Source organism: Homo sapiens, chromosome 2 (assembly GCF_000001405.40).
Source record: "Homo sapiens chromosome 2, GRCh38.p14 Primary Assembly".
NCBI classification, from domain to species: domain Eukaryota; kingdom Metazoa; phylum Chordata; class Mammalia; order Primates; family Hominidae; genus Homo; species Homo sapiens.
In genome coordinates, this window is record NC_000002.12 from 140,440,255 (window position 1) to 140,455,650 (window position 15,396).

The 15,396-nt window shown below is 33.3% G+C and overlaps 1 protein-coding gene across 4 annotated transcripts in view; it reads right to left on the minus strand.

Moving 5' to 3' along the window:
• LRP1B (LDL receptor related protein 1B) overlaps positions 1-15,396 on the minus strand; it is a 1,899,594-nt gene that overhangs the window by 208,832 nt on the left and 1,675,366 nt on the right. For all 4 annotated transcript variants that reach the window (NM_018557.3, XM_017004341.2, XM_017004342.1 and 1 more), the window contains 4 exons: positions 10,314-10,407; positions 4,309-4,425; positions 4,076-4,195; positions 2,250-2,369 (listed from right to left, as the gene is read on the minus strand). In NM_018557.3, coding sequence (NP_061027.2) covers positions 2,250-2,369; positions 4,076-4,195; positions 4,309-4,425; positions 10,314-10,407 — 451 coding nt within the window. The remainder of the gene's footprint in view (positions 1-2,249; positions 2,370-4,075; positions 4,196-4,308; positions 4,426-10,313; positions 10,408-15,396) is intronic.

Sequence of the window (15,396 nt, forward strand, 5' to 3'; positions counted from 1 at the left end):
TCTAAATAGAGATCCTGCAAGAGGGAATAGGTTAGACACTCATGCCACTCTTAATGCAATCCTACTCTACATCCTGCTAAGCCCTGAGGACATGGGACATGTGAAATAGTGAAACACACCCATGCTTCTAGAGAAGATCTGTTCTTAGCCATAAAGACATATAACTGAGTCAAACGATAAGGACTTGGCATAACATGGTGAACCTTTGCAAAGTGTTCTGTTTCTTTCCCATTCAATAAAAACAGCAGAAGGAGAATCATCCCAGGGAGTTTTAAAATAATTAGCATAAATATGTAACATTTCTGTATTTATTGAGGACAAAAGAGAAGGGAACAAAGTGGCCACTTATCCCTTTCAAAAATAAGGGGTGTGAAATGCTGTACTAAGATATGACACAGAATTTTCTTTACATTAATTAGCACCTGTGCACAATAAAATTGTGTAACTCAAATCAGATGACCACCCTCCATCCTTGTCCCTCTGTATGTATGTGTGTGTGTGTGTGTACACACACTGGTCTGGAACTTACAGCAATACTAGTGGCTGGGAGAATCCTATATAACCTCACTACTGAAAACATTTAAATATATTTTTCTCTTTATATGGAAAGAATGAAGTGTATTTATGCTATATCCACAGAGGTTCAAAGCAGATGCTTTGGTGTCAAATAACCCTGTTATTTGACACATCCCAGTTACAGGACTTGCTAGCTATGGGAATTTAGACAAGTTACAGAACCTCTTTGTGCCCACTTTCCTTATCAATGAAATAGGGGTAATAAAGAGATTAAGTAAGATAATCACTCTAAAGCTTTTAACATATTTCTCGGGCCATATGGTTACCATCAACTAAATGTTAGGTATTGTTGTTACTAGGGTGATTGATAATAATCTATTTGAAGCATATAATCTACCAAAACAAAGTCAAATCATGCTAACGTGAGGAAAAGGAAGGAGAGGAAAATACAGAAATAACACTCCAGTCCAGAAATTGTTCAGAGTTAACAAGTCATTATTCCACTTTGGTTTCATAAGTGAAAATGCAAAAGACAATAGAGCAAATTAGCCAGTAATATAAACTAGCCCACAAAACTCCCTGGTAATTGCTATGGACAAATTGGTGATGAATGCAGTTTGAGGCTTTGTGAATTGATTATGAAAACAAATTCTACAAAGTGGCAAATGGTAGTTTTATGATACTGTGGTAAGCTACACTGGTGGCATATTCTAAAGACCCAATTATAATAAGATAGTATTAGGAAAATCACTTAAAGACATGTTATTATTGCCAGCACTTACACATGTAGCTCATAAGTGTTGTTCAATATAAATGAAATTTCAGAGCACTTAAAGGTTTTTCATTATTTTCATTTTCCCCATAAAAGTTCAATGAAAGTACTCTGGAATCTAGCAAATGCATTTAACACACTTCTGTGAAGTCTGGGAGTCCTATCCAGTTTGGACAAACTTTGTCTTTTCTAATCAATTACTAGATGAAATGCTTTTTGCTTATCCAACAATGCCAAATTGGCATATTTGTCTACAGAACAGGCTCAATTAATGTTAATAAATGCTGATCAAATGAATTACACATAGCAAATACTCTTGATTTCTGTCTCAGTGTTAACAGCTTTAACATAGAATCAAATACATTAAACAAAATAAATATATATTCTCCATTTCTGCGATAACAATTAAGAAATAATTATTGTAAATAAAATTATTTTAAGTGAAAATATTAATGTTTCAAAAGCAAATGCTGACTGAAATGATCACTGTCATCTACTAATATGGAACAGATGCTTTTTATTATCTTTTTTCACACTGTAATGTATTAAAGAATGACATACAATATCATTGAATAACTACAGAATCTTAGGGATTTAAGCAAAAAAAAAATGAATTCTAGAATGATATGAATATAGTGTTTCCTTATTTCTGTTCACTAAATGTTAATGCCATCATGTGCATACTCTAATATAAGAAGATAATGGTCTTATTCTACCTCTTTGGTCTATGTTTTATAAAGTTCTGGGTTATATTAAGGAATACTTACTCTTCCATCTTATCACTCCAGGCTTCTTGTAAAGTAGCTAACCTAAGTTTTTATGAATCTGTGAACACAGAGACAAAACCTTTTCAGGTAAGACCTTAGCTTCAAAAGAATTGTGTTCAAATTTGTTTAACTGTGGTTGTCGCAGATGATGACTCAAATACGGAGAGATAAGACCCAGAGTCACAGACACTCACCGCAGTTGGCCTCGTCTGATGCATCTGCACAGTCTGGATCCTCGTCACAAACCCACAGCTTGGAAATGCAATGCTTCGTAGTCTTACACTGGAAATAGTCTGGAGAACAGCTGTTTTCAGCTTAGAAAGAAAACTGCCATTAAAATGTAGCTTTGGAGAACATATTTATTTATTAAAAGCAAATTTTACAGACAAATGTTTAAGACAGTTTATCGAAAAATGTATTGTCTTTAAATTAATAGGACTCTGAAGGTGAGGAATTTTAACTTTTAATTCCTTTTGAGATACTCCTGATATCCTCTCCAGTAAAATTAAAGAAAACATATTTTTGCAGTGATACACTGATAAATATCAGAGTTTTCAAAAAACTGTTGATTAGATATTTGAATACTAATTTTAAGAATTAAGAATTCAGGGACTTTCAAAATAAGTTTTTTTCCAGAAAAAAATAAGAATTCATAGGTATACATTTTTGTAAACTGAAAAATACTAAAATTGGAAGGCATTAAGTGAATAAGGAAATAAAAAGTACAAAGTTTATCAAACTGTCTAGGAATTGTGTTGAGTTTTACATATACGTGGAGTCTTGCTCTGTTGTCCAGGCTGGAGTTCAGTGACACAGTCTTGGCTCACTGCAACCTCCACCTCCCAGAATCAAGTGATTCTCCTGCCTCAGCCTCCCAAGTAGCTGGGATTATAGGCACCTACCACTGCGCCCAGCTAATTTTTGTATTTTTATTAGAGATAGGGTTTCACCATGTTGGCCAGGCTCATCTCGAACTCCTGACCTCAGGTGATCCACCCACCTCGGCCTCCTAAAGTGCTGGGATTACAGGCATAAGCCACTGCACCCGGCCTGTGTTGAGTTTTTGAGGGAAGTGAACATCCAACTTAGACTGTAAACTGCATCACAAATCCTAGACAGTTTAATGGATGAGCTTCTAGAATGGCTAACCATAAAGAACTGGTACTGACTTTATTCTGAATGCACCATCTTAATCAAATTGCTGGATGACTGCACATTATTTACTGATAAAAGTTTTTGAGGGATACAATAAAACTCAGCAAAACAGAAATGTTGACAGCGGTTCTGTTGAAACCCTGAAACTTGACAGGTGCTCCATTAGTCACATAATCTGCATGTGTGAGCATGCGTGCAAGCATGTGCATGCCAGCTTATATGCATATATATATGTATATGGTATAAACAGTTTTGCCTTCCATTTAACGTAATTTGAATTTTGATGGAAGATGGAAATATGAGATGAAAAGAAACAAAATATTTTACTATTATTCTTTCAAATAGTTTGTTAAGATACGTTAAATGGAGCAATATTTAGAATTTTGTAGAAGTTAAATTTTTGTTAGACCATTTTGCCCAGATTTTATATGTCTCTTCATGAGTGCAACATGTATTTCATGGAGAAAACACTCTCTAATTAAAAATAACTTAATTTCAAGAAACTGATTAATCACAGAAGTAAATTACTTGTATCTACTTAATATGGGCAAAAATAAATTTAAAAAACATAATCAACTGCCATGTTTTATTTGGTGCTTCTCTTAAGGATGATGTGGATGAATGAATGTTGTTCATGTTTGTCATAATTTACAGGTAGATTTTAAAGTAAACTTGCCCATATTTTCATTTTCTCTATATTTTTATTTAGAGCTTCTATCCCAGTTGGCATCTATTTCTAATTATTTGACCATAATTTCTTTTCAATTTATCTACATCATATGAATTTATGAAGTATAGTACTAATTTTTAGACTTATTTTAGGAGTCAAAGTTAAGACAAGACAGAGTATTTTGAGGTGACTTACGACAGTCTCTTTCATCTTCCTCATCACCACAGTCATCTTGCCCATTACATCTTAAGTTTACTGGGATACATTTCTGGTTCTTGGTACATTTGAATTGACCTGACAGGCAGACATGTGTGTCTAGAACATAGAAGGAGAGAGAGAGAGAAAATTTGTGTCTGAATTAAAATCACACAGACATAATCAGTTGAAAATTAGACTTATGTTCATTAGTTAGGAATTTAATCACCTACCACAGTTGAGTTCATCAGAATTGTCTCCACAATCATTCTCTCCATCACAGATGAAAGCTGGTAGAGCACAGAGTCCAGTCCCACACTGAAATCGGCCTGGCTGACATCTAAATTCAGCTAGGGGAGAAAGCATAGATATTGTGGAATGGTAATCTTACCTCACAACTTCTTAAACATAGAGTTTCTGACATTCAAGATATTTACTATAATAAATATATCCTGGAATACAATGTGAATGTCTCTCATCTCGATAGCTATTAGATTCAAATGTTTAGCTATACTTTGAGCAACTCAGATGGCCTCCAGATAACATTTAATAAACCATACTTTAGAAGATAGGAATTAATAACATATAAATATATTTTTTTAAAAATTTAAAAAACATATAAAAGTCTTCTCATTTTAATGAAATGATATTGAGAGGTTAAGTTGCAGAATGAAATTTATTGTAACAAAAACTGTTATTCCAATATCATCTTTTAAGAAATCATTTCTCCTTGATCATTTGGTGGCCTATGGTGTGTATGATTTGTCCACAATACATATTCTCTCTCTCTCTTTTTTTTCTTTTGAGACAGAGTCTTGCTCTGTCGCCCAGTCTGGAGTGCAGTGGTGCAATCTTGGCTCACTGCAACCTCTGTCTCCCATGTCCAAGCAATTCTACTGCCTCAGCCACCCAAGTAGCTGGGATTACAGGCGCCCACCATCACACCTGGCTAATTTTTTGTATTTTTAGTAGAGATAGGGTTTCACCATGTTGGCCAGGCTGGTCTCGAACTCCGGACCTCAGCTGATCTGCCCCCCTCGGGCACCAAGTTTTGGGATTACAGGCGTGAGTCACTGCACCTGGCCCACGATACATATTCTCCAGCACAACGTAAAGCAAATGCTTTCTATATCTATCACATTTTAAATCAGATTTATCGATATTCATCCCTATAATCCGATTATTATACAAGAGAACAATATCTTATAAATAGTAAATATTTTATATACTATACGTATATTATAACAAATGACTCCCAAGTGATAATGCATTTTATCATATTATCTGGGAATAATAATAATAAGGCAGGATCTGAGGATCTACTATGTATCAGGCACTGGGCTAGACCCCTTCACATACAGTTACTAATTTAATCTCACCATAACATTCTCATTTTGGCATTACCATTTTAGCAAGAGTAAACTAAATTTACTGAATATGAATAATTCACCTAAGGATGCACAACTTTTAAGTGTCAGACTCTGAATTAAATCTACTATGTTGTTTGCAATAAAACACTTATCTTTTGACTAATGATTTTAATGCATATTACTGATTTTGAGGTTAATATTATCTTTATTAGCTCAAATCAGTGAATCAAACACTAATAAATAGCATTTTAAACTTTTTTGAGAAATAAATTATGCTTTTATAATTACAATATTAAATAAAAATTTAAACATTCTTTAAAAAATAACTCTATATATGGTCTGCTTCCATAGAAATGAGAGTTCTAAAATGTTGAAAGTTATTTGCTTCCAATCTATAACATTTTGTTAATTAATAATACTAAATGTTTAAACTGAATGACACAATTATCTCATACTTTAAGCATGTGCCTTTCCTCTATTTCATTTTGCTTTGTATACAATTTTCTCTAATACTCCTTTGCTTTCGAAACAACCCTCCACCAGAAAAAGGTTGCAACTATTAAAGGAATGCTTTGAAATAACTTGGAAGCCCATCTGAGCTTCAACTCTGTCTCTAGAATAATCTTAAGTGTATTAGAGTATTATAAGAAACATTATTACAAATTTGTGATGCCAGAGAATTTTGATGCATTGCTCTTAACTACATTTATATAAATAACATTATGTAAGCTTGCAAGTATGGGACCCTGGGATGAGGCTTTCCTGTCTTCTCAGGTGATGTTATAAGTATTGTCAGCATCTCTTATTGTCTGCAGGTATTGATGATGCATCTACCCGAAAGTGAAATCTAAACGTTCCATAGACTCTTGCATATAATTTTCTACCTCACCATGACTCTCAAGCAAAGTGTCATTCCTACAGATATTCAAAGCTGTTAACCCATCAACTACAAGTAAAAGCCTATTTGCTCTACTAAAAGAAAGCTCACAGAGATAATGTAACCAACAAAAACATTTAAGACTACTAGAATAAAATATAGAGGGAAAGTTCCATGACATTAGTGTGGGTAAAAACTGTTTGGATATGACTCCAAAAACACAGGCAACAAAAGCAAACACAGACAAATGGAATTACATCAAATTAAAAAACTTATGTACAAAAAAAGAAACAACAGAGTAAAGAGACAATCTATGAAATGGAAGAAAATATTTGCAAACAGTACATCTGCTAATGGGTTAAAATCCAAAATATATAAAGAATATTCAATAGTAAGAAAAAAAAACTCACTGAAAAATGAGCTGAGGACTTGAATAGGCATTTCTTTAAAACATTATACAAATGGCCAACTGGTATATTAAAAAATACTCAACATCACTAATTATCAGGAAAATGCAAATAAAACCACAATAAGATATCACCTTATACCTGTTAAGTTAGGCATTGTAAAAAAAGAAGAAATATAAGTGTTAGCAATGATGTGAAGAAAAGAAAACTCTTGTATTTCATTGGTAGAAATGTAAATTAGTACAGCTATTTTGGGTAACAGTATGCAGGTTTCTCAAAAGACTAAAAATGTAGTGACCATACGGTCCAGCAATCCCACTACTAGATATACACAGGCATACCTAGAAGATATTGGAGGTTCAGTTCCAGACCACCACAATAAAGCAAATATCACGATAAAGCATGTCATACTTTTTTTTTTGGTTTCCTAGTACACATAAAAGTTATGTTTACACTATACTGTAGTCTATTAAGTGTGCAATGGCATCATGTTTAAAAAAACTGTACAAAATTAAATAAGAGTTAGGTAGGGCCTTGCTCTGGATTAGGCTTTGGCTTAAGGAACTGTTGTGGATGGCTTCATCTTCTATCCTGACCACTGAAAGTTTCTTCACATTAGCAAGAAGGCATCTGTACTGTCTGATCATGTGTTCACTGGGTAGCATTTTTATTTTCTTATAATAACTTTTCCTTTGCATTCATAATTTTGCTGACTGATACAAGAAGCATAGCTTTTGGTATATCTTGTGTTTTGAGATGCCTTTCTCACTAAGCTTAATAATTTCTAGCTTTTGATTTAAAGTGAGAGACATGAAATTCTTCCTTTCGCTGGAACACTTAGAGACCATTGTGGGCTATTAGTTGACCTAATTTTAGTATTGTTATGCTTAGGGAAAAAGGAGGCCCAAGGACAGGGAGAGAGAGAGGGAACAGTGGGTTGGTAGGCAGCCAGAACATACACAATATTTATCAGTTAAGTTTGTTGTCTTTTATGGATATGCTCTGTGGTGTTCCAAAACAATTACAATAGTATTAATAATGTCAAAGAATACTGATTGTATCACCAAAACAAATATAATAATAGTAATGAAAAAAAAATTGAACTAGTGTGAGAATTACCACATTGTGAAAGAGAGACAAAGTGACCACATGGTGTTGAAAAATGTCACCAATAGACAAGATTGATGCAGCCTTGTCATAAACCTTCCATTTGTGAAAAATACAATATCTGCAAAGCGCAGTAAAGTACAGCACAATAAAATAAGTTATGCCTGTATATCCAAAGGAAATAAAATCATTATGTTGTAACACTATTTGCATTCACTTGTTTGCTGCAGGTTTATTCACAGTAACCAATATATGAAATCAACCACAGTGTCCATCAATGGATGAATGAATAAATAAAGTGTGGTATATATACATGAGGGAATAATATTCAATATTTTACAATAGGAAATCCTGTTATTAGTGACAGCATGGATGAACCTGGAGGACATTATTTTATGTCATACCAGCCAGGCAAAGAAAGACAAATACCACGTGATCTCACTTATATGTAGACTCTAAGAAAGTCAAACTCATAGAGACAGAGAATAAAATGATGGTTACCAGAGGCTGGAGATTGGGGAGATTAGGAAGACATTGTTCAAAAGACACAAAATTTCAGTTAGGGATGGAAAAAATTACTTCAAGAGATCTATTGTACATCTTGTTGACTGTGGTTAAAAGTAATATATTGCACACTTGAAAATTGCTAAGAGAATAGATTTTAAGTATTCTCATCACAAAAAAGCTAAGTATGTGATGTAATGCATATGTTAAATACCTTAATTTTGCCATTCCACAATGTATACATATATGATAACATCATGTTGCATACCTTAAATATGTAGAAATTTACTTGTCAATTAAAAAAATTTAGATATTAGTATTTAACCAAAACAAGGATCATAGAGAAGCTCTCAGATAACAGATGTCTTTCAGACATCAGTGCCTCAAAAAGACACTAAAGTAATATTTGATGACCATATATTCTGAAAGGAGTTAAATGGAAAAACTCCTAATACTAAGTCTGTAGTTAATTTTTCACATCAATATGGTTCCAGGATGAAATTTCAGTCAAAATTACAAATAGAGGTCAGGAGCTGCAGGTCATTATAGTGAAATTTTCTCAGAGAACAGTCAATCTAGACAAGAAAGATCATCTTCTTAATTAAAGGACTAAATTAACATATTCATTCTTGTTTATTTCTAAGAATTACAAATGTAAGTTGCATTTAGAGTATTTACTGTTATCATAGAAAATTTACTTTATTGTGGGGAAAGTAATAACTTTCTCTTAATAAGAATCTCAGTAAGGTCACCAAAATAATTTATTCTTCCTTTGATATTCCTTTTAACTTAATAGGTTTTTTGAAAAGAATAATTCAGGAATAATAGTGTACTTATCCCACAGAGATACTACCCTTTATATGTTGTCTATCATAGTAAAAAACAAAAACTATATTTAAAAAATCAAAGAGCAGTGGATCTTTCAGAAACAAGATTATATTAGAAACACAATGACTTTTATAACATTTTTCCTTTTCATTGATTTGATTACTTACTGCTTTCAAACATATGCACTATGTGAAACAACTTCAGTATGTGAGAGACTTGGGCATGACCAGAGAGATGGAATACAGCCTATCTAAGTAAATATCTAGATAACCTAAATTTCAAAAAAGCTTTATAATAAGGTGGTAGCAAGCTCTCCAGTAGAAGAAGATAGCCAGTTTCTTCTGTCTTTGTGTAGTACAAGCCTAAGGATTTTGAACTCAATTGTCAAGGCCAAATTATGGCAACCATGTACTGGGATGTTGAGGGAATTATCGTGATTGACTACGAGCATCTTCAATCTGACAGTGAAGTATTGGAGTGACCTATGGAGTGAAGTACAAAAGGCTATCAAGGAAAAGTCTGCTGATGTCCCATTACAACCAAAGTTACCAACGATTGCTGAAAAAGCAGCAGCTAACCATGCCAATTACAGTCAAATGTCAAGACATACTTGGTAATATCTTTAGAGCAATTGCTAAGAACATATTAAATTACCTAATGGCAATCTAATGATTTATATTGGAAAAATCAGACTTTTTAAGAATTTTCAGGATTTCAATGCTGACAGTAAATTTAAGAAATTATATTACTTAAAGATAAGATTTCAGTAATTGAGTGACATTCTGGAAACTTGCCCATTTTTACTTCTAAGTTGGTGACATATTAAGTCAAATTAATGATGCTTATTACCCTACTGATCACTACATGAAATAATGTCATTATTCCACAAGTAATCAAATTTGAGAAAGAAACAAAATCTAACACGAATGGCTTATGGCACCATTCTAAGTGTAACAGTTATCAGGGAGATAACCAAGGTATTACAACAATTTTTATCTTACTTTTAAAGAATGGCATTTAAAATTTTTCTATTTCAATTTTGGAAAAGTGTCAGAAGGCAATACTTTAGGTGTAGATTCAATTTTCCAGGTCTGGGATATAAGGAACTCTAAATTCTAAATTTCAATATTTGCCAGTATACTCACGACAGTCATCAGGTTCATCAGATCCATCACCACAGTCATCCACGGTGTCACATTTCCACCAGAATGGAATACATTTGTCAGTTTTGCAACGAAACTTAAAAAAGAAAAAAAGAAAAAAAAATGTTGAAGAACCCAGTGCATATATAATGGATAATTTAAAATTTGGCAACACAGCCTAGTCTACTTTTTTGCTGCAGATGTGAACAATGGTGATTTTGGAAAATTCCACAATAGGAACTAAATACACAAAAAGCCACAACGTGATCTTCCAGGAGAGGATACTGCTCAGGAAAACCTCTTGAGATGACCTGCAAACACAGACAATCTCTCACATTTACATGTTTTCTGCAGAGCTACTTGGTTTTTGTGGTTGGTTAGTTGGCTTGTTGGTCGAGATAGGGTCTCGCTCTGTCGCCCAGGCTGGAAGGCAGTGATGTGATCTCAGCTATCTGGAACCTCAACTTCTTGGGCTCAAGAGATTCTCCCACCTCAGCCTCCAGAGTAGCTGGGACTATAGGTACATGCCACCTCGCCCAGAAAATTTTTATATTTTTTGTAAAGATGAGGTTTCACCATGTTGCCAAGGCTGATCTCAAACTCCTGGGCTCAAGTGATCCTCCCACCTAGGCCACCCAAAGTGCTGGATTACAGGTGTAAATAAATCACGGCCCCAGCCCTAAAGGGCTACTTGTACACTACAGCAGCAGAGATGAGTAGTTGCTACAGAGACCCTGTGGCCTGAAAAGCCTACAATATTTACTATCTGGCCCTTTACAGGAAAAATTTGGCAAACACTAAATAGGGCTAAAAGCTATCAGGAATATCAGGAAGAGATATCCAGTTGAACTAATTTAGGTAATTTGAATTAATTTAATTTAATTGCATTTTATTCAGAATCTTGGGCAATTCAATTAACATCTCTTAGTCTGTGTTCTTTAGCCACCAAATGAGGATCTGAAGATAATCTGCAGTATCTTTTCCAGCTCTGTCATGCTGTGATTCCATAAAGATTCCTGAACACTGAAAATACTGCCTTTAGCCATGATGAGTATGGGCCCCACATAAATTTTAAGAATATCTCTTTAAAGCAGTTGAGGCCAACACAGTTCTTTTCATTAGAATTCCTAGTAAATACACATGATCTTTTAGGACAAAGAAAAATTCTGATCATTTTTTAAAAAGAGGTAAAAATAAGGCTCAACATTTTTTTTTGGCTGACTTATAAAAAATGAAGGCACAGAAAAAAACATGTAATGAAACTTGTTCTCCAGATTACCTAAAAAAAAAACTTTTCACTAAAATATTTATTAATATGTTTTATTTGTTGTATTATCCTTTCCACTTGAAACAGCTAAACAAAAAGTCATGAGAAAGGTAATAATTCTATTATTTACAGAAATGGAAATTTTAACTCCTCCCTTTAAAAATTAACTATCAAGTGGCAGATTAACATTAGAGAAAGTAAGTGAATTGTTATATGGCAATATTTATTTACTTACAGGCTATTTAGCACACAAGTGACTTGATACTGGAGACAAACTACAGGAAGTTATTATTGCATATCACTTTTATGAGGAAGGTGATTTGAACCCAAATGTAGCTGCTGAGACAGAGTAATTATTGTTCCTACTAACTTCATTATTGCCCAAATATAAACAGTGACCAAAAAGCTCAGTTAGTTTATGTTTTAGTAATCTATTACCGTAAACTAATTATTTTCTCAGTACCATTCAGATAGAAGAAACTAAAGACAAAAATCTCACTTTCCATACAGAGCACATTCATCTGGAGCAGCTGCCACTAAAAAAATTCACTTGAAATTAGTTAAACCAAGCGGTATATAACGTTTAGTCAATTTCTCCTGGTATATCAAATTATTTTCCTCTTCAATTTAGTAGAAGTTCAATGAAAAGCATATATCACAATATTCATCTAGAATTGAAAACATTTCTAAATGTTGAGATGACTTTCTAAAAGTTATTAACTTCTTTTAGAAGTGTTTATGTTGTTATTCCCATATAAGTGACTAACAGCCAGCTGGCATTTTTCTTAGCATGTTACATACAAGAAGGATTTGTAACAGAAAACTATAGCCTAAGTTTAATTATTGCTAATGAAAATAGATTAGCAATCCAAAGCCTTGTTCATTTAGAATACTGTTACTTTCTTCAAATAAGAGATTATTTGATGTTGGCTTTTGCTAAATTTGTCTGGATATGATGGGGTGAATTCATGATAGATTTACATCATTTAAAAAATATGAGTGTGAATTTTTTCTCCCAGTGGCAATACAAGAAGGAATAGAGCTCTATGAATCCAATGGGAGATCTAACCATTCAACTGATTTTTCCATATTTGCTTAGCTTGTACATGTCTGTTGTGTGTGTGTGTGTGTTTTTTTTTTTTTTTTTTATAAAATAGGAGTGGAGAAAACTTATCTTTATAGATAGTGACTGTCTGGGGATATGAGGGAAAGCAGTTACCCTTAACATTAAAATTTCTAGTCATTACAATATATTAAAACACATTAGTATGAGAACATCAGGTCTCCTGAGTATCCTCAAAGTCCAATTATGACTGGAAAAATATCTAAATTGTATGTATTTTTAAATTCACTAAATGAACCCAATTTAAATAAACATGAACTGTTGGAATTATATATGATATAATGATTTTGCTCTTCTTTTGACTTTGAAAATAACATTAAAGGGTTTTGAGTTAAGGGAGGCCAGGGTAAAATATACTTATCTTATTTTTCATGTTAATCAATATTTTATTCTCACAGGAAGATCTCTTCTATTTCATGTCTTAGCTTCATTTTTACCCACTTAAATTCAGTAACTTAAAAAAGATTAATGCTAAATATAAATATAAAATAGTCTTCATCATAAATGTTCTCTAAGACTAATATCATCATAAAATAAACTGTAGACTGTAATTATCACCCACAAGTAAAAGCTATAAAGAACCTACTAAATATGTGTCTACTAATATGAATACAGGGATAAAATGCAATCTCAATATGGTAAAGTTTAGTTGAAACAAGAAAAGTCTCCATTTTAAAGCTTAAGTGAAGCCATTATTAAGTTGACTTTTTTCCTAAAATGATTTTCATTAAATATTTGAAATGACTAGTGTTATATGAATTGAACTTAATCTTAATTTTTACTAGATTCTCAGATTATGTTTTCAATCCTAATAGAATTCTTATTGATGTGATTTGCCTGTTTGTTTCTAAAATAATACTATTTGGGGAACATGTCATTTGTTGACAATCATTAGATGATAAATCAAAATCCCTAAGTAAGAATAAATTAAGAATGCAAAATTTTCATCAGGATGCTTACTAGCATGATTCTTAACTGCCTAGATTATTTGCTTCCTTTAAAGGTCTACCTCACTGAAAATCATGTTTCTACAAACTGATTTTTCTCCAAGAAGTATACAAGAGATATATTTTCCTCTCATTAGATCAGAAAAGAATCAGAGGTAAAATGGCCTCATAAACGAGATGAGTTACAGGGATAACCACTAACAGTTTGCATTACCTGTTCTTCATGAACTTTTTTTCTTTCTTTTTTTATTTGTTTTTATTTTTTGAGACAAGAGTTTCACTCTGTTGCCTAGGCTGGAGTGAGTGTCATGATCTTGGCTCACTTCAGCCTCCGCCTTCTGGGTTCAAGCAATTCTCATGCCTCACCCTCCCAAGTAGCTGGGATTACAGGTCCTTGCCACCATGCCCAGCTAATTTTTAATATTTTTTAGTAGAGACGAGGTTTCACTACGTTGGCCAGGCGGCTCTCCAACTCCTGACCTCAAGTGATCCACCTGCCTCGTTCTCCCAAAGTGCTGGGATTACAGGCGTGAGCTACCGGGCCTGGGCAATTAACTTTTTCCTTGAAGATGAAACTAATGAAGTGATACCTCCTCCTTTTTTGTTGTTTTCAGAAGTATAGTTGAAAAGTATTGTACACATTTGGATTTGTTTGTTCTGTCTTGCTATTGTTAAGTTTCTAAAAATTCGTGATAGACTATTGGGGGTATTTAAAAATTATAAATATTTTAGTGTTGTCATCATGGAAACCAAATTGGGAAATAATTTTATTAGATAAATAATTCTTTCAGGGTGAGTTAGGTTTTCATTTATTTGACTAATCTAATTTGTTGGCATTGGATAAACAGTTATAGGTTTTCATATATAATATTTGAAAAGTGTTATCCCTTTGATGCCTGTAGTGAGGCTGATGTTTTATTCTCTGTGCCTTGCTATTTGAGATGTTCATCTGTGCTTCAAAGAATGCTGTGATTTTGTTCTATTTTTAGTTGGCTATTAAGTCATCGCCACTGTAGTGACTCAGGCAGGCATCATCTCTACTAAGCCAGCGACAGCCTTACTTTTGGGCCTCAGCAGACTGATATATGTATGATCATTCCAAAGCAAGGGACCAAAGATTATTTTAGAATAACCTGGATGGAGGTTACCTGAAAATTTGACTAAATAGCACCAATAGTATTAATAATTCTATTTTAAAATATTAAAAAACGTGATTTCTCTCTTTAATTTTACCACTAGGAATAATTCAATTGCTAATTTTATCTCTCATACTGACTTACATTTCCAGCTCTTTAAAAATAATATTTTTATTACACAAATACTCAGGGACTTATAATTAGAATAACACATTTTGTAATAAAAGCAGAGTCTGTGGCTTGTGCTTTCAAAGAGCGGTCAGAACCTCTTGAGGGCAGCTCACACTAATTATATACATAACTTTTTAATGTAAATTTCGGCTGCAGTATAGGGCAAGAGTAATAATAACAACACCTACTATGTACCAGGAACTTTTCCCATTTAATCTGTATATGGCATAGAAATATTATAATCCCATTTAAAAGATGAGAAAACCAAGGTACCAAGAAGTAACAAACTCAATTTAAAGCTGAGTCTGCATTATAATCACAAAAGCTCTGGCTTCAGAGTCTATGCCCTTAACCTCTACACATTCTGGCTCCCTGAAAAAGTTCTAATTGTTGTTATTTATGCAGTTCTTTCATGTATGATACTCCTAAATCTAATCTGAAA